At 43.7% G+C, this 25,075-nt stretch overlaps 1 protein-coding gene, 1 long non-coding RNA gene and 2 other non-coding genes across 5 annotated transcripts in view, besides 6 other annotated features; 1 reads left to right on the forward strand and 3 right to left on the reverse strand.

The window, feature by feature from the left end:
- On the reverse strand, positions 1-21,646 carry HSPA9 (heat shock protein family A (Hsp70) member 9). The gene is made up of 17 exons (NM_004134.7): positions 21,483-21,646; positions 20,313-20,371; positions 20,008-20,095; positions 17,205-17,386; positions 15,170-15,294; positions 13,894-13,967; positions 13,700-13,806; positions 13,246-13,408; positions 12,871-12,963; positions 7,825-8,034; positions 6,109-6,336; positions 4,798-4,902; positions 4,114-4,231; positions 3,647-3,741; positions 3,019-3,111; positions 2,697-2,837; positions 1-2,359 (listed from the first exon to the last, which is right to left on the reverse strand). The coding sequence occupies exons 1-17, from the start codon at positions 21,561-21,563 to the stop codon at positions 2,282-2,284; spliced, it is 2,040 nt and encodes a 679-aa protein (NP_004125.3). The 5' UTR covers positions 21,564-21,646; the 3' UTR covers positions 1-2,281.
- SNORD63B (small nucleolar RNA, C/D box 63B) lies at positions 5,214-5,286 on the reverse strand. Its single transcript, NR_145752.1, has one exon. It is a non-coding gene; the product is annotated as a small nucleolar RNA, C/D box 63B (small nucleolar RNA).
- On the reverse strand, positions 7,288-7,355 carry SNORD63 (small nucleolar RNA, C/D box 63). The gene has a single exon (NR_002913.1). It is a non-coding gene; the product is annotated as a small nucleolar RNA, C/D box 63 (small nucleolar RNA).
- Positions 17,323-25,075, forward strand: part of LOC105379193 (uncharacterized) — a 14,012-nt gene continuing 6,259 nt past the window's right edge. For both annotated transcript variants that reach the window (XR_001742899.1, XR_001742900.1), the window contains exon 1: positions 17,323-17,411. This is a non-coding gene — a long non-coding RNA (uncharacterized LOC105379193). The remainder of the gene's footprint in view (positions 17,412-25,075) is intronic.
- Positions 21,227-21,874: an enhancer, noted in NCBI's record as "NANOG-H3K27ac-H3K4me1 hESC enhancer chr5:137910671-137911318 (GRCh37/hg19 assembly coordinates)". NCBI's record gives its function as "activates a minimal SCP1, AML or CMV promoter by ChIP-STARR-seq in naive H9 embryonic stem cells {active_cell/tissue: H9 hESC(naive)}" and the evidence as "EXISTENCE:reporter gene assay evidence [ECO:0000049][PMID:30033119]".
- Positions 21,227-21,960: a biological region, named in NCBI's record as "NANOG-H3K27ac-H3K4me1 hESC enhancer GRCh37_chr5:137910671-137911318".
- Positions 21,391-21,440: an enhancer, noted in NCBI's record as "active region_23207". NCBI's record gives its function as "activates an Ori minimal core promoter by ATAC-STARR-seq in GM12878 lymphoblastoid cells {active_cell/tissue: GM12878}" and the evidence as "EXISTENCE:reporter gene assay evidence [ECO:0000049][PMID:35858748]".
- Positions 21,681-21,960: an enhancer, noted in NCBI's record as "active region_23208". NCBI's record gives its function as "activates an Ori minimal core promoter by ATAC-STARR-seq in GM12878 lymphoblastoid cells {active_cell/tissue: GM12878}" and the evidence as "EXISTENCE:reporter gene assay evidence [ECO:0000049][PMID:35858748]".
- Positions 21,875-22,523: an enhancer, noted in NCBI's record as "NANOG-H3K27ac-H3K4me1 hESC enhancer chr5:137911319-137911967 (GRCh37/hg19 assembly coordinates)". NCBI's record gives its function as "activates a minimal SCP1, AML or CMV promoter by ChIP-STARR-seq in naive and primed H9 embryonic stem cells {active_cell/tissue: H9 hESC(naive and primed)}" and the evidence as "EXISTENCE:reporter gene assay evidence [ECO:0000049][PMID:30033119]".
- Positions 22,101-22,240: an enhancer, noted in NCBI's record as "active region_23209". NCBI's record gives its function as "activates an Ori minimal core promoter by ATAC-STARR-seq in GM12878 lymphoblastoid cells {active_cell/tissue: GM12878}" and the evidence as "EXISTENCE:reporter gene assay evidence [ECO:0000049][PMID:35858748]".

A 25,075-nucleotide genomic window follows, 5' to 3' on the forward strand; every position in this document is an offset into this window, starting at 1 on the left:
TTTTTGCCTTTTGTGATAGTTAATTTTATGTGTCAGTTTAGCCATTGATGCCATTTAACGGGTTAAACATTTGTCTCTCTCCAGAAGAGATTAGTATTGAATTGGAGATTGCTCTGCTTTGATGTGAGTGGACATCATCTAATCAGTTAAGGGCCTATATAGAACTGCCAGAGCTAAGACATCCATATTCTTCTAACCTCGGACTAGGACACCACTGTGTTCCTGGTCACTGAAATTTTACCCCAACAGCTTTCCCAGCAGTGGACTGTGGGTGGGACCTCGGTTCCATAATTGTGAGCCAGTTTCTTTCTTACAGTAAATCTTATTCTAGATATATATCCTATTGGCTGTAGGAAATCTCCATATACCTTCTTGCTATTTATGCTATTAGCTTTACTGATAGGTGACTGAAATACTGTGTCCACCCATACCCAAGCAACTTCTCCCTCCTAATAGAACTCAAATATATATTTTGCTTGGGCATTTGGCTCCTCTCTCTGATCCCAAGGATGAATCTTGACTAGCATTAAGCCAGTAGTTCTCAACTGGAGTACTTTGGAAATCCTGGAGGGCTTTTAAAGTTATCTTTAGGAGACAGTAGAGGCAGTGGGCAAGGGCCAACCAAAAATGCTAAAAGTTATTTTCCAACACACCATATAACAATCCTTCATAATCCTACAATGTTCCCATTGAGTGTTCATGTGGTTGGAAACCTGAGCCTAGAATTTTTCACGAATCCCAAGAATCTTTTACATGGGTGTTAACAAGCACTGAATCTTCCAAAAATGTTGTCTAAATCACTTCCTTCATACTTGCAAATTAAATTGATTTCTTATACTGATTTTTGGAAATACAGTAATCTCATTTCTACATATTACAAAACATTATAAAAGGAGCCATTGTGTCTGATATTCTAAGCCCATCTTGATAACAGACTCTTTTGAACATGGCATATGACATTCATCCATGAAACATAAGGGAAATGTGCTGGAAGACTTTTGGGAAATCTTAACATTGAATAAAGATGTAGTTGCCTTTCTGCTCAGGTTGTCAGCACATGATAATTATTAGAACTACATCAGAGAATTTGGGACAAGCCAGTACACTGAGGACAGAAAAGCAGAAATAGGGAAAGAAATCTGGGTTCCTTTTATTTTTGAGCCATAGAAATAGTATCTTAGGACTTATTTCTAGATGCAGTTTCTTTAATGTAAGCCAATTCTGGTTATTTCTACTTGGAGCTGAAAGCAACCTGAAAATAGCCACCTTGGTTTTCATGTTAGAGATCTAAAAACTTTCATGTTAGAGATCTAGAAACTTTCATGTTAGAGATCTAGAAACTTTCAAGATTCTAAATGTACCAAAGGTCTAAGGGGAGAAAATAAAATCCTTCAAACAAGATTTGCACATGCTGATACTGCTCATTATTTCATTATAACAGCCCTTCCAAATCTTGAATTTGCATTTTTAACCAGTGTTAGCAAATCCTGTATTTCCCTCTTTGGGAAATATGGGAAGCATGAGCCATGGCATATTCTTGAAGCTAAATCTCAGGGCATCACCCCTCACAAACAAGAGATCAAGATGCTTTCTGTATTTATTTAAAAAAAAAAAAATTCCAGAATGGGTAAGAGAACAATCATCAAGGATGTAGGTGCCAGACACAGGGCAGAAGGTAGCTAGAAAAGTATGCCTTAGGGAAGTTAAAGGTCTAGCCTCATTCCTACCTTGTTTTAATAGCTGTACCTAATATAAATAGCTAAGTTTCCCATTGTTCTAGATTCCTCTGCCCCATCTACAAACATGGCACAGCCAGCTTGACTTGCAAGGCCTCAGTTGAAGGACCCCATGTACATACAGGCCAGTACAGCAGTACTAGGCTAACTAGAAGGATCTCATCCCCATATGTGGTCTCATTTCAAGTCTATGGATGACTACCTTCATTGCTGTGTGCGAGATGGTTTCACCCCTTGAAAATATGGTCACTTCAGCATAAAATAGTTAAATCTTTATAATGATCAATTCATCCTACCTCCTTTTACATGCAGCTGAAAAATGACAGGCTAGGGACATAGAATATTGTGAACTTTATACTGTTAGAATCACTGTCCATTAAATGATCACTAGCTAATGGTCACTAAATTTACAAATTAAGGAAATTATATATAGAATACTGCAAAAACACAGTAAAAAGACTGAAGTTCGCCCATTTCTGCTCAGGAAGTCTCTTCACTCCTAAGCTTCATATGTTGTCCTTCTGGCTTCAAAATTTCTGCTATTATTACTGTTTTTCCTCCTTTTGATCTTCCTTTTGTTCCCCAGTGCCAGAACTTCCAGAGCCTTCTCGCTCAGATGCCATCTGTTAAGAAAACATTTGAGAGCCACTCAGATTTAACGTTAGAGCTAACCATTTGCTCTTTGTTGCACTCCAAGATGAGGGACCCACATATGTCCTCATCATTCATTTCTATTCCACTCCCCCTCCCCACTTTCTACCCTACTGGTGGTTTCTGGATTCCTTCCCTTTGACACTAACTCCAATGCCAAAGTAGAGTCAAGACGGCAGGAGACTATCTCCCAACTCTAATCTCACTCTAAATTCCACAAATGGCTATGGAGGGAGCCACCAGTGACAGTCATCAAGAACAGTTCCATCCAGATCAAGTTAGAATCAAAATCCACTTCAGCCCTTGTACCTTTTTGTATGCCATTTCGAACAGCTTCAGTGATGCCTGCTGAAGAGAGGATGCTGCCTGTCTAATATTTTCTCCTGTTTCGCTGTCTTTTCTAGCCAGGAGCTCCCTCATTTTGGAAATCTCTTCTTTCAGCTTGTTGCACTTAAAAAAAGAAAACAAAAATCCTTACTTTTCCAGGTCTCCTGTACCATTACAAGTAGAAGTACTATTTAGAAACATTTTAAAATAATTAAACCCCTATCAAAACCCACAGAAAAATAAACTTCACTGGCATTGGTAAAAATGTGTTCAACCTCTTGAGTTACTTTAAAATAGAACTCACCTCATCAGCAGGTAATTGGTCCTTGAATTCTTCCATCTTGGTTTCTGTGTCGTGAATGATTCCTTCAGCCATATTAACTGCTTCAACTCGTTCCTTAGAGAAATTAGAAGTTTAAACGAAGACTTTCCAATCAACCAAAGTTTGCTGAATGTCTATACTCAGACAATAAGCTATGTGTTACATACAGTTACAGATAAAAATAGAGTAAGAGGGAGAAATCAGAGTGGCATGAAAGAGTCTGGGATGGCTTTGAGAGAGATTTGGGCTAGATTTTGTAACATCAGAATTGTGACAGGGAAAACAGAAGAAATAATAAAGGCACTGCAAACATAAGGTATAAACAACGGGGAAGGAAGAATAGATTATCTTAGGTTTTCTCTTACCCACAACCTATGACATGTCCAAACTCTCCCACTTTCTTGTTCAAGCGATTCTCCTGCCTGAGCCTCCCAAGTAGCTGGGACTGCAGGCGTGCACCACCACGCCCGGCTTCAAACGATCTGCCCACCTTGGCAGTGGGCTTACAGTGCTGGGATTACAGGAGTGAGACACTGCGCCCAGCCCCAAACTCCCACTGTCAAGACTGAGCTTTACTAAGATTAAAGTTCAGAAGACAAGAAGTAATCACCTTCTTTCGCCGGTCTTCTTCAGCATATTTCTCTGCATTTTTAACCATATTTTCAATATCATCTTTGCTTAATCCACCAGAAGACTGGATTACAACTGTAGTAAACAGAAGGCATTTCATTAATTCCCAGGTAAAGTTATATGCCTCTTCTTCCTCCATTGCATTAAGAGTACTCCTGCTCATAGCAGCCAATCTTGATACAAATTATGAAGAGGAGAAATACCCTATAGTCCTATAAAGCAAAATGAAACCAAGGACCCAATATATACACAAACACCAACTGGCCTGTTTGCCCATCAAAACTTCAGCAATCCACAGGCTCAGTGCCTGTTTGTGGGGAATAAACATTACACTTGTACAAGTAAATCTGATAACTGAGGGGCAAAGAGGACTCATCATTCTAAGAGGGTCTATTCCCAAGACCTCCCTCACCTCACTCTTAGGGTCTGATAAACAAGGTGACTTACTCTGCTGCTCACGTCCTGTGCCTTTATCTTTAGCAGAAACATGTACTATCCCATTGGCATCAATGTCAAATGTAACTTCAATCTGAGGAACTCCACGAGGGGCTGGTGGAATTCCAATCTAAAATAAATAATATCCAGAGTAAGGTCCTCTTACAGAGGGGTCCAGTGCTATTATTTCCAAATCTATATGGTTTTCTAGTAAACAAGTCACTTGGTTCCTGGGAGAAACAAGTGATTTAATGTACAAAACACAAAGTTTATAAGCAACAGTAGTAGTTCGCTGCCTGAAATCAACTGGTTTTATACCAGTGAAGTTTAGCTATAGCAAGTAACCATAATGGCTGTATGTACCTGTGGACACACTAAATGACAGATAGCAAATCTCCTATTATTCACCTCACCAATAACCAATAAGCAATGCTGATCAGAAACCAGTAACAATATCAAATGTCTTTTAAATGAGTAATCAGGAGTTTATTTCTGAGGAAATTCCTAAGGCACAAGGAAAAAGCAAGGCTTTCAGGTAAAAACTGATGCCATGGGTATCTAGTTGCATCCCTTCTTCTCAAGACTACTCAGTATGTATGTGTATGCCAGCAGTTTATACTAATATTTTTATGGCTTAGAATATTATCTCACTTTACAGTGAAGGAGGCATAGTATTCAGGATTCACAATAACCTACCAAAGTAAACTGTCCAAGGAGTTTGTTGTCTCCAGCCATCTCTCTTTCACCCTGACACACTTTAATTTCCACTTGCGTTTGACCATCAGCGGCAGTAGAGAATACCTAGGGAAGAAGAAACCCTCCTGGGTTGTCAATGTGATTAACCTACTCCATTTCTATAGAAAAAATGAAAGCCAAAGGTTTACATTCCAAGACTGGAAGACTCCTAATTTACGGTATGTTCAGAACAAAGGCTGATGTCTTTATAGGGAATAGAAGTAGGATTAGTACAGCAAATGGGCATACAATAGCAACTGTTTCAGCTAAGCAAATGCATTGTACAAAGACGCAGCATTAGGACAGAAGTCCTCAAAAGGAACTAAAATGTTGAAACATGCTCATCTGGGGAAACGGGATCAGAGAAAGAAGATGTATCATGCTCAGTCACAGAAAGTCACCACATACTTTTCTTCAGAGTGATGTGTTGACAAATACATCACGGCACAAATATACCAACAACCATAGTTTTATGGAAAAACATCACAAGATTGGGTAAGTCAGGAAATAATTTTTTTTTTTTTTTTGAGACAAGACCTCACTTCATACTGTCGCCCAGGCTGGAGTGCAGTGGCATGACCTCAGCTCATTGCAACCTCTGCCTCCCATGCTCAAGTGATCCACCCACCTCAGCCTCCTGAGTAGCTGGGACTACAGGTACACAGCACCATGCCTGGCTAATTTAACTTTTTGGAGAGAGGGAGCTTCACCATGTTACCCAGGCTGGTCTCAAACTCCTCAGCTCAAGTAATCCTCTCGCCACAGCCTCCCAAAGTGCTGGGATTACAGGCATGAGCCACGGTGCCCAGCCAGAAATAATTCCTACTTCAAGAACAAGCCATGTCCAAGTAGCCCTGCTTGGTATCTCGGCACCCTCATACCACCCCCTTCATTCATCCATAAGATAAGAACACTCCCCTAAGTCTGGTCCAGACTACCCTTTTTACTGTCTTTGAGAACAGAAGACTACAGGAAATTCAGTCTCAAATGACTGAGATCCCTTTTAGCAAATTATGTTAATCCTGTGGAGGAGACTACTGATGTCCTTCTTATAATCATCACTACCAGCTAACATGTAAGAACTTTTCTGGTAACAAAAAAACAAAAAACAAAACACAGGATTCTCACCACCCACAGTTAACTGTTTAATATTCTAAACTGTAAAACAGATAAAAATGAAGTTTTCTAGAAAAAACTCATGAAAGTGGCTGCAATTACATCCGTCATAGAACCTAAAACCCATGTGACAAGGTAGGAAGTGATGGCTCTTACCTGGCTCTTCTTGGTTGGAATAGTGGTATTCCTATTAATAAGTTTGGTAAAGACACCTCCTAGAGTTTCAATACCCAGAGACAGGGGAGTGACATCAAGGAGCAGCACATCCGTGACATCGCCGGCCAACACACCTCCCTGAATGGCAGCTCCAATGGCCACAGCCTCATCAGGATTGACAGCTTTACTTGGGGCTCTGCCAAAAAGATCCTGTACAGTCTGCTGAACCTGAACATCAAGGAAAAAGAACCTGTCGGCCCACACTTGGGAACTACCTGAGCAGAACAAAAGGGAGCACGTGTCCTACGCTCCCAGCCAGATCTCAAGACAGGCTAACTCAAATCTGAGAATGTTTATTCAAATAACCATTTCGTACTTGGGTTCCTGCTAATGATCTTCTAACACTCATACACTTTATACCTATAGAAGTATCTCCTTCATGACCCTTGTAAATCTGGGAAGGATTCTCCTAAGTTTTATTATCTGCTTTCCTACACAACACATTAAATCATTTGAAACAGAGGATGCAAGGCAAGGGGACTTAGAAGTCCACATTCTCTTGTATATTATCAACTAAAGACCAAATTATCATAGGCAGCTGTAGCAATAATTTGCATTGCTAACATGGGGCATGGTCTTCCCTTGTGTTTATTAGTGATAAAGTTCCATTTGAATAGTATCGGGGATACTTTTTCTTCTTCTTTTTTTTTTTTTTGAGACGGAGTCTCGCTGTGTCGCTCAGGCTGGAGTGCGGTGGCGCAATCTCCACTCACCGCAAGCTCCACCTCCTGCGTTCACGCCATTCTCCTACCTCAGCCTCCCAAGTAGCTGGGACTACAGGCGCCCACCAAATTTTTTATATTTTTAGTAGAGACAGGGTTTCACCGTGTTAGCCAGGATGGTCTCGATCTCTTGACCTCGTGATCCGCCCGCCTTGGCCTCCCAAAGTGCTGGGATTACAGGCGTAAGCCACTGTACCCGGCCTCGGGGATTTCTTAATATATGAGGCATCCACCTGGTCCAGGACCTTTTTTTTCCAGGTTCATTTTTTTTTTTTTTGCATATTTCCTTAAGGCCATGTATTTCAATGGAAAAATTAAGAAAAAAAACAAGGTCACTATCTTAGGTCCAAGATAATCCTATTTAGGCTACCAAGAAGAACTGCATCTTCAACAGGTTTGTGCTCAGTCATTAGTTTTCCACACGTTCTTTCAGAATGATGTGTTGAATAAAATACATCATTGCACAAATCTTTGTCAAAGAGATGCACTAAGCTGCAAAGACACATGTACAAAGATGGTGGCCGGGGGCGGGGTATTACCAAGGTTTTATGTTCCCCTCTGACCTCAAACTTTGTTTCAATCCTAAAAATTCTATGACTGAGTTCGGGATCCTCCCTGCTACTGCCCCTAAAGAAATTCTGCCCCTCCCTAATTTTTCATACATACATACATACATATATATATATAAATTAGACTCATGTGATCTGCCCGCCTCAGCCTCCCGAAGTGTTGGGATTATAGGCGTGAACCACCATGCCCAGCCTATTTTTCAATTTTAACAAAACAAACAGAAAAGAATTCTTTAGTGAGTATATAATCTCATCTCCCTTTTAGGTCACCCCAGCAGAATGGGCCATATATTTGTGCCACCTGTCCCAAGAATACACTATGCGCCAGCCCTCTCTCTCCACGACAGAATTCCACTGGTCCATACCTTGGGCATCCTAGTCATGCCACCCACAAGAATCACTTCTCCTATGTCACTCTTGCTGACTTCTGCATCTTGCATAGCTTTTTGGCATGGAGCGATAGTCCTTCTGATTAGATCAGTGACAATCCCTTCAAATTGAGCACGGGTCAACTTCATATTCAAATGCTTGGGTCCAGAAGAATCCATTGTAAGATAGGGCAAATTGATGTCAGTCTGCAAAGGAAATGTTTAATTGCATGTCAGCGAGCAGGCCAAATGACGGTTACATTTATTATTTCAACTAAAATATGACCATGCCCTAGGACAGAAGACTTGCAAAACCAAAGGGAGGGTGAGATCTAATTTAAATGAATAGTCACCAAGAATACTTTTTTTTTTTTTGAGACAGAGTCTCATTCTATCGCCAGGCTGGAGTGCAGTGGCATGATCTTGGCTCACTGCAACCTCCGCCTCCCAGGTTCAAGCGATTCTCCTGCCTCAGCCTCCCAAGTAGCTGGGACTACAGGCATGTGCCACCATGCCCAGCTAATTTTTGTATTTTTAGTAGAGACAGGGTTTCAGCATGTTGGCCAGGATGGTCTCGATCTCTTGACCTCGTGATCCGCCTGCCTCAGCCTCCCAAAGTGCTGGGATTACAGGCGTGAGCCACCCCACCCGGCCAAGAATAGTTACTCTTTAAGATGCAATGTTTTGCCGGGTGCAGTGGCTCACGCCTGTAATCCCAGCACTTTGGGAGGGCGAGGCGGGTGGATCACGAGGTCAGGAGATCGAGACCATCCTGGCTAACATGGTGAAACCCCGTCTCTACTAAAAATACAAAAAAAATTAGCCGGGCGTGGTGGCACATGCCTGTAATCCCAGCTACTTGGGAGGCTGAGGCAGGAGAATCGCTTGAACCCGGGAGGTGGAGGTTGCGGTGAGCCGAGATTGTGCCACTGCACTCCAGCCTGGGCAACAAGAGTGAAACTCCGTCTCAAAAAAACAAAAAAACAATGTTTTATCTCCCCAGAGATAAGCACTATAGAATGTTTTAATAAAGTTTATAGTTATTAACAAGAATGCAGCAGATAAGCAGGAAAAAAATCCCCATTCAGAAGATAAAGAACTATTCTGCCACTACATATTCATTAGAACCACACTACTGATGTTTTCCTTCACCAAGTTTTAAAAATATCCCATGTAGGTGAAGAGAAATGTCAAAGTTATGTTCTGAACCAAATAACATGCCATTAACCCTGGGCTCTGTAAGTTCCAGGACGTTTACAAGTGATACGAAAGCTACAGACATGCTCTCATTAATGTATGAGGACTGACTTGTATGGCCATCACATCCATGGAGAGCAGCTGACAGTCACACCATGTAATATCCAGTATTTAATAAATCCCAAATCCCAGTACAACATGGGATCTTACAGTGTGTAACTGAGAGTGAGTCCTTAACCACCTTTCTTCAGGAGAAGTATCCTAAACATTTGAATACTTAATAAATAGAGTTAACACACCATCTGTAGAATAGTGATACCTAAATATTATTGACAATTTCTTTTTTGCAAAATGTTGATTAACCAAATCAGAACACAGAATTATCTAAATCAATGCTATCCAGTAGAATTTTCTGTGACAATGAAAATGCTCCTTATGCTGCTCAATTCAGCAACCACTAACATGACTACTGAGCACTTGAAATAAGACTAGTGTAACTGAGAAATGTAATTTTAAATGTTATTTAATTTTAATTAATTCAAAACCCATATTTGGCTATTATAGTAGCACGACTCTAAACACTAAAAGCTAATGGCAACCTGAAAATCTCCAGCACTAACTCTCAACCCTCTACAACCAGTCCAACATCTATCACAATGTTCTTTCCTTACCCTCCTCTCTCAAACCCAATCACTTGTGTCTTACTCTCACTCTCATCCAAGTCTTTTCTCAACACATGGTTACCAACAGCCCCCCTACACCCACTCAGGGTGCCTTCTGCCCTTCACAATTCTCCACTCTACTCCAGCCAAAGGGCTTTTCACAAATCGACACATGACCATGTTACTATCCTCAACTCCTCTGGGGTTTGTATTCACTTATCTAGGGAGAGACACCAAATCCCAAATCTATAAAGCCTCTAGCCCAAGGGTATCCAATCTTTTGGCTTCCTTGGGCCACACATAAAATACATTAACACTAACAATAGCTGATGAGCTTAAAACAAAAACAAAAAACAAAACCCTCAGTATTTTAAGAAAGTTTACAAATTTGTGTTGGGCCACATTCAAAGCCATTCTAGGCTGCAGGTTGGACAAGCCTGCTCTAGCCTCATTTTCCATGCCCACCAACAACCGACCCCAATCTTCACTCTGCCCTTTTGGCCACTCTGGCCCTTTCTCAGGTCTTCACCTGAGAGCCTTACTCTTAACCCATTACACATGCCCATTTATCTTTTTCTGATAAACTCATCTCTCAGATGCTATTCTTGTTATGCTGAACACCTCTCTCAGGTACCTTCTTAGATTATTTTTATTATTTTTATTTTTCATTTTTATTTTTTGAGACAGAGTCTCATTCAGTCACCCAGACTGGACTGCAGTGGTGCCATCTGGGCTCACTGCAACCTCTGCCTCCTGGGTTCAAGCGATTCTCCTGCCTCAGCCTACTGAGTAGCTGGGATTACAGGCACCTGCAACCACACTTGGCTAATTTTTGTATTTTTAGTAGAGACACGGTTTCACCGTGTTGGCGAGGCTGGTCTGGAACTCCTGACCTCAAGTGATTCACCGGCCTTGGCCTCCCAAAGTGCTGAGATTACAGATGTGAGCCACTGCGTGCGGCCCCTTCTTAGATTGCTTTTAAGAGACCTGCTCTGTCACCCAGGTTGGGGTGCAGTGGCATTCACAGCTCACTGCAGCCTCAAACACTTGGGCTCAAAAGATTCTTGTGCCTCAGTCTCCTGAGTAGCTGGGACTACAGGCACGCACCTGTGGTGTAGTGCACCACGCCCAGCTAGTTTTGTAGAGACGGGGGTTCTCACTATTTTGCCCAGGCTGGTCCCCAATTCCTGAGCTCAAGTGATATTCCTGCCCTGGCCACCCAAAGTGAGGCCCCTTCTTAAATTGTAACTGCATTTTTACCACTTGTTACATTAATAGTAACTTACATTTAGAGTATTCACAATTTCCTATGTTTTCCTAAGCATGTAATATTTATGAACTTGGTAATGCTCACAACTCTTAGGGGAAGAGTACCACTATTATCCTTGTTTTGTAGATAAGTAACAGTAATGTTAATTCATCCAAGATCACCAATTAATAAGCAATACAAGGGGGACTTGAACCCCAGCAGAATGCTTGCAGAACCACCCTTAACCTTTACTTTGTATCACTTCTAGTTTAACGTTTACTAATCTGTTCTAATTAATGTCCATCTTTCCAAACCACAATATAATCTGCATGAGGGTAATAAACGCTAAGAATTTATTCTATAGATTTAAAATCACCTATGCAAAACTGAATGTGTAAGGATGCTCAATACATCTTGCTATAATAAACACTGGAAAACAATCAAAATGTCTATCAATAGGATGCAGCCACACTAATTAAAACCAACCAATCTCTTCCAACACCTCGCATCCCCTACCCCAAATGTCAAATCCCTGGGAAGAATTATCTTCTGGCAGTGCCAGGTATTTCAACCTCAACCCTAACCAACGTTGCAATGTTCTGCCACTCCATGATAGCAGGGGCAAAGTAACATCAGCAAGACCATGGATGCGTGTGTATAACTATGTCACTCCTCACAGCCACTTAAAAAAAAAAATCCAGGTTTGAGGGGAAGGTTCATTAGCAGCAACCACAGTGACAACCATCATAAATACCTCTTCCCTTGTGGGTGATCAAAATAAAGGTGTCACCGCTCTGCTTTTCCTGCTGTCACCCAAGACACCGGAAATAGATCTGCTGCTTTCTATCTTCATGGGTCTCTAACACAGATCTAAAATGGTTTATATAATTCTATTCTTGGTGGTGAAGACAAGTTTCACCTCTCAGAACTGGAGCTAACCAAACTGACAAAGAGGCTGTGTAAATCTGATGCTCACAGACGGAAACTTGCACAAGCTTCAGCTCTTTTTCTAGACTGGTGATTCAAATTATTGTCATTTTTTGACACAGGGTCTCATTTGTCACCCAGGCTGGAGTGAAATGGTGTGATCACGGCTCACTGCAGCCTCAACCTCCTGGGCTCAAACAATCCTCTTAGCCTCTGGAGTGGCTGGGACCACAGTTGTATAGACTATGACCAGCTAATTTTTCAAATTATTAAGTGAGAGACAATTAGCCGGGCTCAGTGGCTCACGCCCATTATCCCAGCACTTTGGGAGGCCGAGGCAGGTCAATCACCTGAGGTCAGGAGTCCAAGGACCAACCTGGCCAACATGGCAGAACCCTGTCTGTACTATAAATACAAAAATTAGCCAGGCATGGTGGTGCACACCTGTAATCCCAGCTACTTGGGAGGTCGAGGCAGGAGAAATCACTTGAACCCAGGAGGCAGAGGTTGCGGTGAGCCAAGATCACGCCATTGCACTGTAGCCTGGGCAACAGGAGCAAAACTCTGTCTCAAAAAAAAAAAAAAAAAAAAAAAAAAGACACTCAGAGACTCTCCAATTCACAAGGAGAGAGGTTATTTAATATTGTCAGTTAAGACAGCAGTTTTTCCAAGCTAGTAATTCTAGTTTTAAACACTGCCAGAGCAGGTTTTAAAATAAATGTCTTTAACTGAAAGGCAAACAAGTACACCCAGCACATCATTCACACATTATTTAGCTCCAGTATATGTAACTGATTTGAGTGGCTAAAAAAATTTCAGCTCATAAAGAAACTAAAGACCTTACTGTCCCTGTGCTCATGGCAAAGGTCTCTAGAAACCAGAAAACTGAAAAAACAAACAAACAAAAAAAACTCAACTGACATTAGGCCAATTAGAAAATACTATTTATTTTAAATAAGCTCCGGCTGAAAATATCCATCAAGACTGCTCGAATTTTCCGTGTCTCACCTGCACAGATGAGGAGAGTTCACATTTAGCCTTTTCAGCAGCTTCCCGTACCCTCTGAAGTGCCATGTTGTCTTTAGTCAAATCAACCCCTGTCTATAAAGTGAAGACATTGAACACCAAACACCAGCATTAGTGAGGTGATAAATAAACTGCAGTAATAAGGTGGAACAACACAAAATGGAGTCATACCTTTATATATAAGCATGAATTACTTTTTATTACCCTTAATGTGTAGGGAAAAAAAATATTCTGAAAAGAGTATCTGTGTCTAGAATAAGGGGGTTGAACTGAACTCGTAAACAAAGCAAAGAGCAATCTGAACAAAGAATTTCTCAATATCCCAACGTCTACATATTAACCACATTGGTAACTCACCTCTCTCTTGAACTCCTTCACAATGTGCCGTAGCAAGGCCTGGTCAAAGTCTTCCCCACCTAAGAAGGTATCCCCATTTGTGGATTTCACCTCAAATACTCCTTTCTGAATTTCCAGGATAGAAATATCAAAAGTTCCACCACCTAAATCATATACAGCAATGCTGTAAATGATTTGTGAAAAAAAAAAGAAAAGAAATCCTTAAGAACAAAACCTATCACCAGGATATAAATTTCAATAACCAAATACAGATAATCTAAGCTATTTCCCTGAGATATGTACTAGTTAAATTACCATGGCCCAAAAGAAAAGAAAAGAATGGTTTTGAAATGAAAAAACAAAGACAATACAGACTTAAAATCAGTAAAAGCACTGTAAAAGGCTCAATTACTAAAAAATTAAGTGACACTTTAGTTTCACACATCCAGGTGAGAAATTTACTGCACAAACTTACACTTTGTCTTCTGATTTGTCTAGACCATAGGCAAGAGCAGCAGCTGTGGGCTCATTAATCACCCGAAGCACATTCAGTCCAGATATCTGGCCAGCATCTTTAGTGGCCTAGAGAAAACAAAGAGAAAAACATTTTTGTACCCTTCCATCCCAGGCACCTTACTTTTTGTGAATAAGAATGCTAATTGACCTCACCTGTCTCTGCGAGTCATTGAAATAAGCTGGGACTGTGATCACAGCATTTTTTGCTGTGTGCCCCAAGTAATTTTCTGGAAAAGAATGAAATTCAATCATGGAATTCTGTCAGAACAGAATTATTAATATAGCCCAACAACCTGTGTCATCCTTTTGCAGCCACAGACAACATTCTTCAGTCTTTTGGTAAGTGACCTAATATGTCCTTGCAGGAAACACTCCAAGTAAATACACTGGTTAAAAACCCAAGATCAGGCCGGGCACGGTGGCTCACACTCGTAATCCCAGCACTTTGGGAGGCTGAGGCGGGCAGATCACCTAAGGTTGAGAGTTTTGAGACCAGCCTAACCAATATGGAGAAACCCCATCTCTACTAAAAATACAAAATTATTCAGGCATGGTGGCGCATGCCTGTCATTTCAGCTACTCAGGAGGCTGAGGCGGGAGAATTGTTTGAACCTGGGAGGCGGAGGTTGCAGTGAGACAAGATCGCACCACTGCACTCTAGCTTGGGCGACAGAGCGAGACTCTTGTCTCAAAACAAACAAACAAACCCAAGATCGGCCGGCCAGGCACGGTGGCTCATGCCTGTAATCCCAGCACTCTGAGAGGCTGAGGCGGATGAATCACCTGATTTGTCGGGAGTTGGAGACCAGCCTGACCAACATGAAGAAACCCCCATCTCTTTACTAAAAACACAAAAGTGGCTAGGCATGATGGCGCATGCCTGTAATCCCAGCTACGTTGGGGGGGAGGGAGAGGGCAGGATAATCGCTTGAACCCGGGAGGCGGAGGCTTTGGTGAGCCGAGATTGTGCCACTGCACTCCAGCCTGGGCAACAAGAGTGAAACTCTGTCTCAAAAAACAACAACAAAAAAACCCCAAAAAACAGAAACCCCTAAGATCACTCTTTCAACATTTTAGTGAAGGTTCACTAAACTACAATGACCTTTAGACTTACAACAGCCACTTCAAATAGGAAGTTCTAATTTATACCTAACAGGGACAAAAGCTTAATGTGTAGTCTTGTGGCTTTCAATATAGAACATTACCCCCTACTGGAAAAAAAGAAACAAGCCAGCCACCATTAGTGAGATTTGAAGATTAATTCAATCTGCAGGGAAAGCATGAAGTATAACACAGTTTTGCCATTCCTAGTTTTTCTATACAAAAGGGACCACAGATTCATCTACAGGAGCTGGAGCACAGGGAGCTAGTGATCTCACAGGAATCATTGTTCTTAGAACTTTCCCAGATGTGAACTAAACCCACTCACCTGCAGTCTCTTTCATCTTCATCAACACAAATGCTCCAATCTGACTCGGAGAATACAATTTCCCATGAGCCTCAACCCAGGCATCACCATTGGAGGCACGGACAATTTTAAAGGGAACATTTTTACTGTAAGACACAAAAATTCTATTAGAGAAAACTACCTGAACAACTTACCATGACAAAATTACCACATACCATGAACATCCATCTTCCACCCCAAGAGACTCATTCATGGCCAACAAATGACAGTTTGTGAAATTCTTTAGAAAGCAATCACTAACATGGTTTATGAGAATTACAAGGCAAAATGAAATAAATAAATAAAAAGAAAGCAATCACTAACATATAAAAACATTATGATGAAACCTCAACATTCTTTATTTAGCGCCCCAGGCAGAAGATTTTTGCAGCCACTTTAGAATAATTTGATGAAACCGTTACTGTATGATCCAGCAATTCTACTCTCTAAGACAAATGGAAATATTTATGTCCACACAAAAACTTGTACACAAATGTTTATGGCAGCATTATTTCTAATAGCCAAAAAGCAGAAACAGCTCAAATGTCCATCACTTGACAAATGGATAAACAAAATGTGCTGTATGTCCATACAGTATAGTATTATTTGGCCATAAAAAGGAATGCAGTACTGACACATGCTACAACATGGATGAACCTTGAAAACATGCTAAGTGAAAGAAGCCAGTCATAGAGGTCCACGCAACTCCATGCATACAGAATTCATATTCTACTCAAGCTCAATAAAGCTGTTTAAATTTTTAAAAATATTTAGTTTATATATATATAGACAGAGACACACACAGTCTTGCCTTGTTGGCCTAGATGGTCTTAAACTCAGCCTCAGACAGTCTTTCCACCTCTGCCTCCTAAAGTGCTAGGATTACAGACATGAGCCACTGCTCTAGGCCTAAAACATTTTGTATACAACAGGAAACTCTACCTATGCTTCTAGTTTTTTTTTTTTTTGAGACAGGGTTTCACTGCTATTACTCAGACTGGAGTGCAATGGCATGATCTCAGCTCACTGGAACCTCCGCCCCTCAACGCTCAAGCCTCACTAGTAGCTGGGACTATAGGCGCGCACCACCGAGCTTGGCTCTTTTTTGTATTTTTTGCAGAGGTGGCTTTTCCCCAAGTTGTCCAGGCTGGTCTCGAACTCCTGAGCTCACCTCAGCCTCCCAAAGTGTTAGGATTACAGGTGTGAGTCACCCCACCGAGCCTCTAGTATGTCTATTTTAGAAAAAGGCAGGCTGGGCATGGTGGCTCACGCCTGTAATCCCAATAATTTGGGAGGCTGGGGTGGAAGGGTCAGTTGAGTCCAGGAGTTCAACACCAACTTGGGCAACATAGTGAGCCCCGTTTCTATTGGGAGGGGGGAAGAAAAAAGAAAAATCAAGTCTTTTTCTGTACTGGATCAACACATGATAGAACCTATGCCATTTCTGCCTTATGTATTCAACACTGAACTATGTGGTTTAGGAATGCTTTGCAAATTTTCATGTATCATGTCAATACATAGCAAAGACCTAATCTGTAAAGACAAAAATGAATTTTTTTCTTTTGAGACAGAGTCTCAGCAGCCCAGGCTGGAGTGCAGTGGCAGTGATCTCGGCTCACCGCAACCACCGTCTCCCGGGTTCAAGTGATTCTCCCGTCTCAGCCTCCTGAGTAGCCGGGATTACAGGCACCCACCATCATGCACAGCTAATTTTTGTATTTTAGTAGAGACAGGGTTTCACCATGTTGGCCAGGCTGGTCTTGAACTCCTGACTTCAGGTGATCCACCCACCTCGGCCTCCCAAAGTGCTAGGATTACAGGTGTGAGCCACTGCACTGGCCAAAAATGAATTTTTTAAAGGGATTACCCTTTTGGCAGTGGTACAGATTTCCCCTAGGGACAATAAGTAAAATTACTAAAGTAAGGTGCTCCAGGGATCCTCATCAACATGCTGAGGCTCTTCTGTGTGGCCCTTGCAAATAACTGCTTTTTGCAAAAAACTTTTGCTGTTACTCACATGTCTTTCTGTACTTCAGGATCATCATATCGCCGGCCAATGAGACGCTTGGTAGCATAAAATGTATTGTTTGGGTTGGTGACAGCCTGTCGCTTGGCCGGCATTCCAACAAGTCGCTCACCATCTGCTGTAAAGGCCACAACTGAAGGGGTGGTTCTGGCACCTTCGGCATTCTCCAGCACCTAAACTCCCAAAATGTGATAGAGAGTAAGTTTGTAGTTATCACTGGTATGTTTTTTGAGATGGAGTCTCACTCTGTCGCTAAGGCTGGAGTACAATGGCACAATCTTGGCTCACTGCAACCTCCGCATCCTGGGTTCAAGCGATTCTTCTGTCTCAGCCTCCCTAGTAGCTGGTACTATAGGCGTGCACCACCACACCAAGCTAATTTTTCGGCATTTTTTAGTAGAGACGGGGGTTTCACCATTTTGGCCAGGCTGGTCTCGAACTCCTGACCTCAGGTGATCTGCCCGCCTCAGCCTCCCGAAGTGTTGCGATACAGGCATGAGCCAATACGCCCAGCCTATTACTGGTATGTTTGCAGCAATCATTTAAGACACAGAAACAGCTCCCAAATTGCGAAACAAATGCACATCAACAATACTACCGGGCATGCTTTACTGCTGATAGTTAATGAACAGTAGATATTTAGTTAAGGTATCTTTAGCCCTTTACTTTCAAACTACTATTTTTTTTTTTTTTTTGAGAGGGAGTCTCGCTCTTGTCACCCAGACTGGAGTGCAGTGGCGCGATCTCGGCTCACTGCAAACTCCCTGTCCTGGGTTCAATTCTCCTACTTCAGCCTCCTGAGTAGCTGGGATTACAGGTGCCTGCCACCACACCCAACTAATTTTGTGTGTGTGTGTGTGTGTGTGTACTTTTAGTAGAGATGGGGTTTTGCCAAGTTGGCCAGGCTGGTCTCGAACTCCTGACCTCAGGCGATCCGCCCACCTTGGCCTCCCAAAATGCTGGGATTACAGGCTTGAGGCACTGCGCCTGGCTTTTTTTTTTTTTTTTGAGACAGAGTCTCACTGTCACCTAGGCTGGAGTGCAGTGGCACTGTCACGGCTCACTGCAGCATTGACCTGCCAGCCTCAGCTGATCCTCCCACCTTAGCCTCCAGAGTAGCTGGGACTACAGGGGCACACCACTATGCCCGGCTAATTTTTTGTAGAGACAGTGTTTTGCTATGTTGCCTAGGGTGATCTTCAACTCCCACACTCAAGTGGCCTCCCCAAGTGTTGGGATTACAGGCATGACCCACCAGGCCTGGCCCTGATTTACATTTTAAAAACTGCTTTGGTTGCTTAAGACTCTTGTCAGGTGAACCTTTGTAGTGCTGATAATTGTATGTATCTAACTTCCCAGAAAAGGATTTAAATGTGGTATAGAGGTAGGACTACTAATTTACTATTAAGAGGGGTGGGAATGGCTTGCACTGTTTGGTTACTCTGGTAACCACCAAAGTGCTGCATTTTCTAAATTGAAACAAAGTTGGGTGTGCAGAGACAGACTAGAAGTGGAGCTTCATCTCTGAAGTAATGCATGTTGTTCATTGGAGCAGGCTATTTCTTTTGAAGCCTCCTTACTCTGTACATGCAACCTTTATTCCCACCGGGTTCTTAGCAAGATTTAGAACACCTGGAATTCTTGACTCTTGCTTCTTCCATTCATGGCCTCTTTTGCTTTCATACTTCCTTTCCCCCCAATCTCCTCTTCTGAAATAACCTGAACTGTCTATGGTCTTCTTATCCCACTTGTTTGGCACCAAGAGATTATTCCTTCTCTTGGCCCTAATTTGGGCTTCTTGGCATTTTTCCTATATGCCTGATATCTGTGGCCAACCCCCCAAAAAACTTAGAAGTAGATATAATTCTCCATGTGGAAGTAAAGATTCTTGTCCCAACATTGGGTATGAAAAACCTGATCTATAGTCTCTTCTTTTTTTTTTTTTGAGACAAAGTCTCGCTCTGTCACCCAGGCTGGAGTACAGTGATGTGATCTTGGCTCACTGCAACCTCCACCTCCTGGGTTCAAGCGATTCTCCTGCCTCAGCCTCCCGAGTAGCGGGGACTACAGGTGTGTGCCACTACGCCCAGCTAATTTTTGTATTTTTAGTAGAGACAGGTTTCACCATGTTGGCCAGAATGGTCTCGATCTCTTGACCTTGTGATCCACCCGCCTTGGCCTCCCAAAGTGCTAGGATTTCAGGTGTGAGCCACTGTACCCGGCCAATTTTTTGCATTTTTAGTAGAGACGGGGTTTCACCATTTTGGCCGGGCTGGTCTTGAACTTGGGACCTCAGGTAATCCACCCCCCTTGGCCTCCCAAAGTGCTGGGACTGCAGGCGTGAGCCATTATGCCCGGTCAGCCCTGATCTATAGTTATGTTTTTGCTGTTTTAGTTGGAAGTACTTCGAGGCCAGGCTTAGTGGTTCACATCTGTAATCCCAGCACTTTGGAGGCCAACGTGGGCGGATCACTTGAGCTCAAGACCAGCCTGGCCAACACAGTGGAACTGTCTCTACTGAAAATACAAAAAATTAGCCAGGAATGGTGGTTCATGCCTGTAATCCCAGCTATGTGGCCAAGGCAGGAGAACTGTTTGAACCCAGGAGGCAGAGGTTGCAGTGAGCGGAGACCGTGCCACTGCACTCCACCATGGGCTATAGAGACTGTCTCCAAAAAAAAAAAAAAAAAAAAAAAAAAAGCGCAAATCAGGTTCTCAAATTCCTTAACTAAGGAAAAGAGCACAGAATTCTGGACAGATTCTGGATAAGGTACTAGTTATCAATCATGCTCACCTTTGCTTGTTTACCTTCCATAACTGCCACGCAGGAGTTGGTAGTACCCAAATCAATACCAACAACTGCTCCCTTGATTGCTTCTGATCTGTAAGACATTTAGAACAGTGTCACAGCTATTGTTATCTTGATAGACCAAAGTCACTGGAAGATAATATTTAATTGGAAAATTAACAGTGGTATACTACATAATCTCTAAATAAATACAGATAAATAATTACAGAGAAGAATAATCACAAATGTAGAAAACACTGCTTTGAAGTTTAATATGTATTCCCTCTCAAAGGAAATGATATTATACTTACGCATAATCCCGCCTTGAAACAAGTCTAAAAGCCTCATGACTAAGGCCATTCCAGCTATCCTAAAAAAGAAAAAACTGACTCAGTCACCAACCAGTGTGTATCCTGGGAGGAAAAAGAGAAAACTTGGGCTCACTTAGTATATAAAATACATTAAGCTACTAAAACAGTAAATATTAAAGTTTCCCAAATAAGTAAGACGAAAAAAGGTAAATAAAAGATGGCCTTAGAATCACATTACAGTAGGATTTCTCAACCGTGGCGCTATTAATTTTGGGCGAAATTTTTGTGGTGGGGGCTGTTCTGTGCATTGTAGGATATACAGCAGCATCCCTGGCCTCGACACCCTAGAAACCAATAAGCACCCCAGTAAGTAAGTGACAACCTAAAATATCCACAGACATTGCCAGATGTCCCCTGGGGGAAAACACTTCCCCTTACCTTGCCGTGCAATTAGTTTAAAAGAACTAGAGTTACTAAGGGTCTTTGAAAGAAAAAAGAAAAGTAGTGGCGTTTCACTAGGATAAAAGACCTTTATTACAACTTAACCTCAGGCTCCTTCCAAGCCTTCCTTAATGCCCACATACAATTCCTGTTCTCTAAAGCATTTGTCTTTTATTTTAGAAAACAAGTAACCACTCCATAGCCTTTTCTCCGCCCCACGATCTGCTTTTTTTTCTGAAGTAACAAACGAGTACAATCTTACACCACAGATTTTGAGAAAATGTTGCTAAGCACGAAAACTGGAGTTCCGACTCAGAGCTTTCTTATTTTATTTCACCGTATCAACGGGATCCTTACACACTCTGTATTCTGTAGAGGAGCCAAAAATAAAACTGAAAATAGTGGCTTTCCCAATAGACTGCATCCCTCACCCCCAAGGCCAAACCTTTCCATTCAGCCACAGAACAGGCCATGAGGACCACTACCTGGTAATTTTGAAATGACACTCTAGATCGCGAGGGGTGTGACTCAGCAGGGCCCAAGCCGGAGGCAAAACCTTGGGCAAAATCTTGACCCGGCAGCGCTAACTATGGAAGGCCCGTTACCTTCCTTCCCGCCTGACCTATACTGGAGAATTCAAACCCTAAAGGGCGCGCGGCCTGCCGCAGCGAAGCCCGAGGCCCAAGGCCCGAGGCCGTGACCCCATTCGGGAAGGTCCCAGTTCCTCACCTGGTGGCGGGCGGCCGTAGGGCCCCGGGAGGCTGCGGCGCCCACGAGACGGGCTGCTGCAGCTCGGCTGGCACTTATCATGGCGGATAAATGGAGGAGTACGAGGCAGCAAACAAGCGCTCCGACGGCAAAGAGCTGCGCGATGCGGTGGCGGCAGCGCTTCTGGAAACCTCCAACCACGTGGGGTGAGGGGCGGGGGTTGGTCACTGCGGCCCAGAGGCCCGCTCTTCCGCTGAGGCGCCGCCCGCGCCGCCTGACCAGAGGATACTCGACTGCCGCTCCCGGAGCCAGGGCGTACAGGTAATATGCTCCGCAGCATGATGGTTGGAGAAAGCCTGCCCTCCTGTCCCGGCTGCGGCGGCTCTGAGCTCAGAAAGAGTCCAGGGGAGGAAGAGGGATATGAAGGCCGTATCTCGGACAGCCCCGGTCCTCGGCGACAGGAAAGACTCAAGGTCACACGGGATAAATTGCGAACCGATTACAGTCTTCTTGCGTCAGTTGCGCGGGAGGAGGAGCCTGTTGGCGCAACAGACATCCAGCTAAGAACCTAGAGCGCATGTGCGCAAGGAGTGGCGGAAAACATGGGTGGAGACTAACTGCGGCGCTCACTGGGTGCCCGAGTGCACGCCAGCGTTCCCTGGGGCGAGCCCGGGCGCGTGCACACCCCCCGGGCGTGGACGTGTTCCCAGCTCCCGCTCCTGGAGGACGGCGCCATCTTGTCTTGTGGCTTTGTGAAGTGAGGACGTCAGTACTTTTGTTGTTTGGTCCCGCCCGTTGTTCACAACTTGAAAGACACTTGGATATGCAGACAGACGTTAAACAATTTCGTGTTGCGTTTTATCACAGGGGTCTTGGGTTTCCAACTACGAAGCGTTTGATTCACACAGAACATTAGGCCAATTAGCCTGCACAAAGGGAAAAAAAAATAGCTGAGCTTGGCCGGGCGCTCACGCCTGTAATCCCAGCACTTTTGGGAGGCCGAAGCGAGCGGATCGCGAGGTTAGGAGATCGAGACCATCCTGGCTAACACGGTGAAACCCCGTCTCTACTGAAAATACGAAAAAGTAGCCGGGCGTGGTGGCAGGCGCTTGTAGTCCCAGCTACTCGGGAGGCTGAGGCAGGAGAACGGCGTGAACCCGGGAGGCGGAGCTTGCAGTGGGCCGAGATCGCGCCACTGCACTCCAGCCTGGGCGACAGAGCGAGACTCCGTCTCAAGAAAAAAAAGAAAAATAGCTGAGCTTCAGGCTCTTCCTCTCCCCACTGTGCTGGGCCTGACTTGAGACTCCTCTGGCCCTTTTTAAACCTTGTGCTGGTGGCAGGATGTCAACTACTTCACTACCCTGTGACCAGTTTTTAGGTTTTTGTTTTTTTTTTTGAGGCAGTCTTTGTCGCCAGGCTTGAGTGCAGTGGCGCCATCTCGGCTCACTGCAACCTCTGACTCCCTGGTTCAAGCTATTCTCCTGCCTCAGCCTCCCAAGTAGATGGGATTACAGGCGCGCGCCACCACGCCCAGCTAATTTTTATATTTTTGGTAGACACCGGGTTTCACCATGTTGGCCAGGATGGTCTCGATCTCCTGACCTCGTGATCTGCCTGCCTCGGCCTCCCAAAGTGCTGGGATTACAGGCGTGAGCCACCGCGCCCAACCCAGTTTTAGATTTTTAAGAAGAGGAATTAATTGATTCAACAGATATGTTTTGGCATGCCTACCGTGTGTCAGTCACTCTCCCAGGTGGTAGGAATACAGCGAAAGCAAAACACGAACGAATGGCTGATGACAGATTGAACTTGATTTTGGAGATGAAGCAATTTGTCCTGGAAGCCCGCTTTCAAAAAAAGAGAAATGTTTCAGACCCCCTATCTCTTCAGGAAGATCTGTATTATTAAGTAGTCACCCCTGGGTGAGGAACTGTGAAGGAAATGTTGGGGAAAGTTGGGGAGGGAAAGAAGCTAACTGAAGAGTTTACATTCTGAGGAGGATGGCAGTGGGAGTAAGAAAATAAACAAAAGTCTAACGTAACATGGGTTATAGATTATATAGATTCTAAAAGTTTTTAAAAAGCCTCCCACACACTCTTAACTGTCAGCTATTACTATATTATCCTCACTAGTTACTTAACACTTCATTTCTCTTGTTTTTAGTTCTCTCAGAAGGCAGGGGTGGCCAGGCGGTGGCTCACGCCTGTAATCCCAGCACTTTGGGAGGCCGAGGTGGGAGGATCACTTGAACCCAGGAGTTCGAGATCAGCCTGAGCGACAGAGTGAGACTCCATCTTTAGCCTCTGTCGCCCAGGCTGCAGTGTAGTGGTGCAGTCTCAGCTTACTGCAGCCTCCACCTCTCTGGGCTCAGATGATTCCAGTGCCGCCTCAGCGCCCCCCTCCCCCGAGTAGCTGGGATTACAGACATGCGGCACTACGCCTGGCTAATTTTTGTATTTTTCGTAGAGACGGGGTTTCGCCTTGTTGCCCAGGCTGGTCTCCAACTCCTGAACTCAAGGGATCCGCCCGCCTCGGCATCCCAAATGCTGGAATTACAGGCGTGAGCCACTGCGGCCGGCCAATTTTTTTTTTTTTTTTTTTTAAATTGGCTGGGCATGGTAGCAAGCACCTGTAGTCCCACCTACTTGGGAGGCTGGAGTGGGAGGATCACTTGAGTTCAGGAATTTGAGAACAGCCTGGGCAACATGGCAAAACCCCATTTCTACAAAAAATTAGCCGGGCATGGTGGTGCACCTGTAGTCCCAGCTACCAGCTACTCGGGAGGCTGAGGTGGAAGAATCACCTGAGCCAAGAGAGGTCGAGGCTGCAGTGAGTCGTGATTATGATTGTGCCATTTCACTCCAGTCTGGGTGACACAGCGAGACATTAAAAAAAACAAAAAACAAAAAAACAGAAAGAAAGGAGAAAGGAAGGAAGGAGGGAGGGAAGGAGGGAAAGAAGGAAGGAGAAAAGGAAATAAGGAAAGGAAGGAAAGAGAAAGAGAGAAAAGAAAGATGCGGCCGGGCGTGGTGGCTCACGCCTGTAATCCCAGCACTTTGGGATGCTGAGGCGGGTGGATCACCTGATGTCAGGAGTCCGAGACCAGCCTGGCTAACATGGTGAAATCCTCGTCTCTACTAAAAATACGAAAATTAACCAGGCGTGGTAGTGGGCACCTGTAACCCCAGCTACTCGGGAGGCTGAGGCAGGAGAATTGCCTGAACCCAGGAGGCGGAGGTTGCAGTGAGTGGAGATTGCACCACTGCACTCCAGGTGACAGAGCCAGACTCCGCCCCCCCCCCCCCCCAAAAAAAAAAGAGAGAGAAAGGAAGAAAAATGAGAAGGCAGGCTTTCTTAAAGGCTATCCAAACAGGCTCATGATTCCTGTTTGTAGAGATTTAGATTCTAAAACAATATACCGATGCAAAGAAGACAGAGGAGTGACAAATAATATTGAACATTGAAATGCAATAAAAAACATTATGTTCTTACGTTGTACATGACGGGGCGGAGAAGGGCAGGTGGAAATAATTGGAGAAACTGCATACTTCTCACTTCTCTGTTGTATTAACTGGTTCTCCTAAGAGTTTTTCTTTTCTTCTTCTTTTTTTTTT

Source organism: Homo sapiens, chromosome 5 (assembly GCF_000001405.40).
Source record: "Homo sapiens chromosome 5, GRCh38.p14 Primary Assembly".
NCBI lineage: Eukaryota > Metazoa > Chordata > Mammalia > Primates > Hominidae > Homo > Homo sapiens.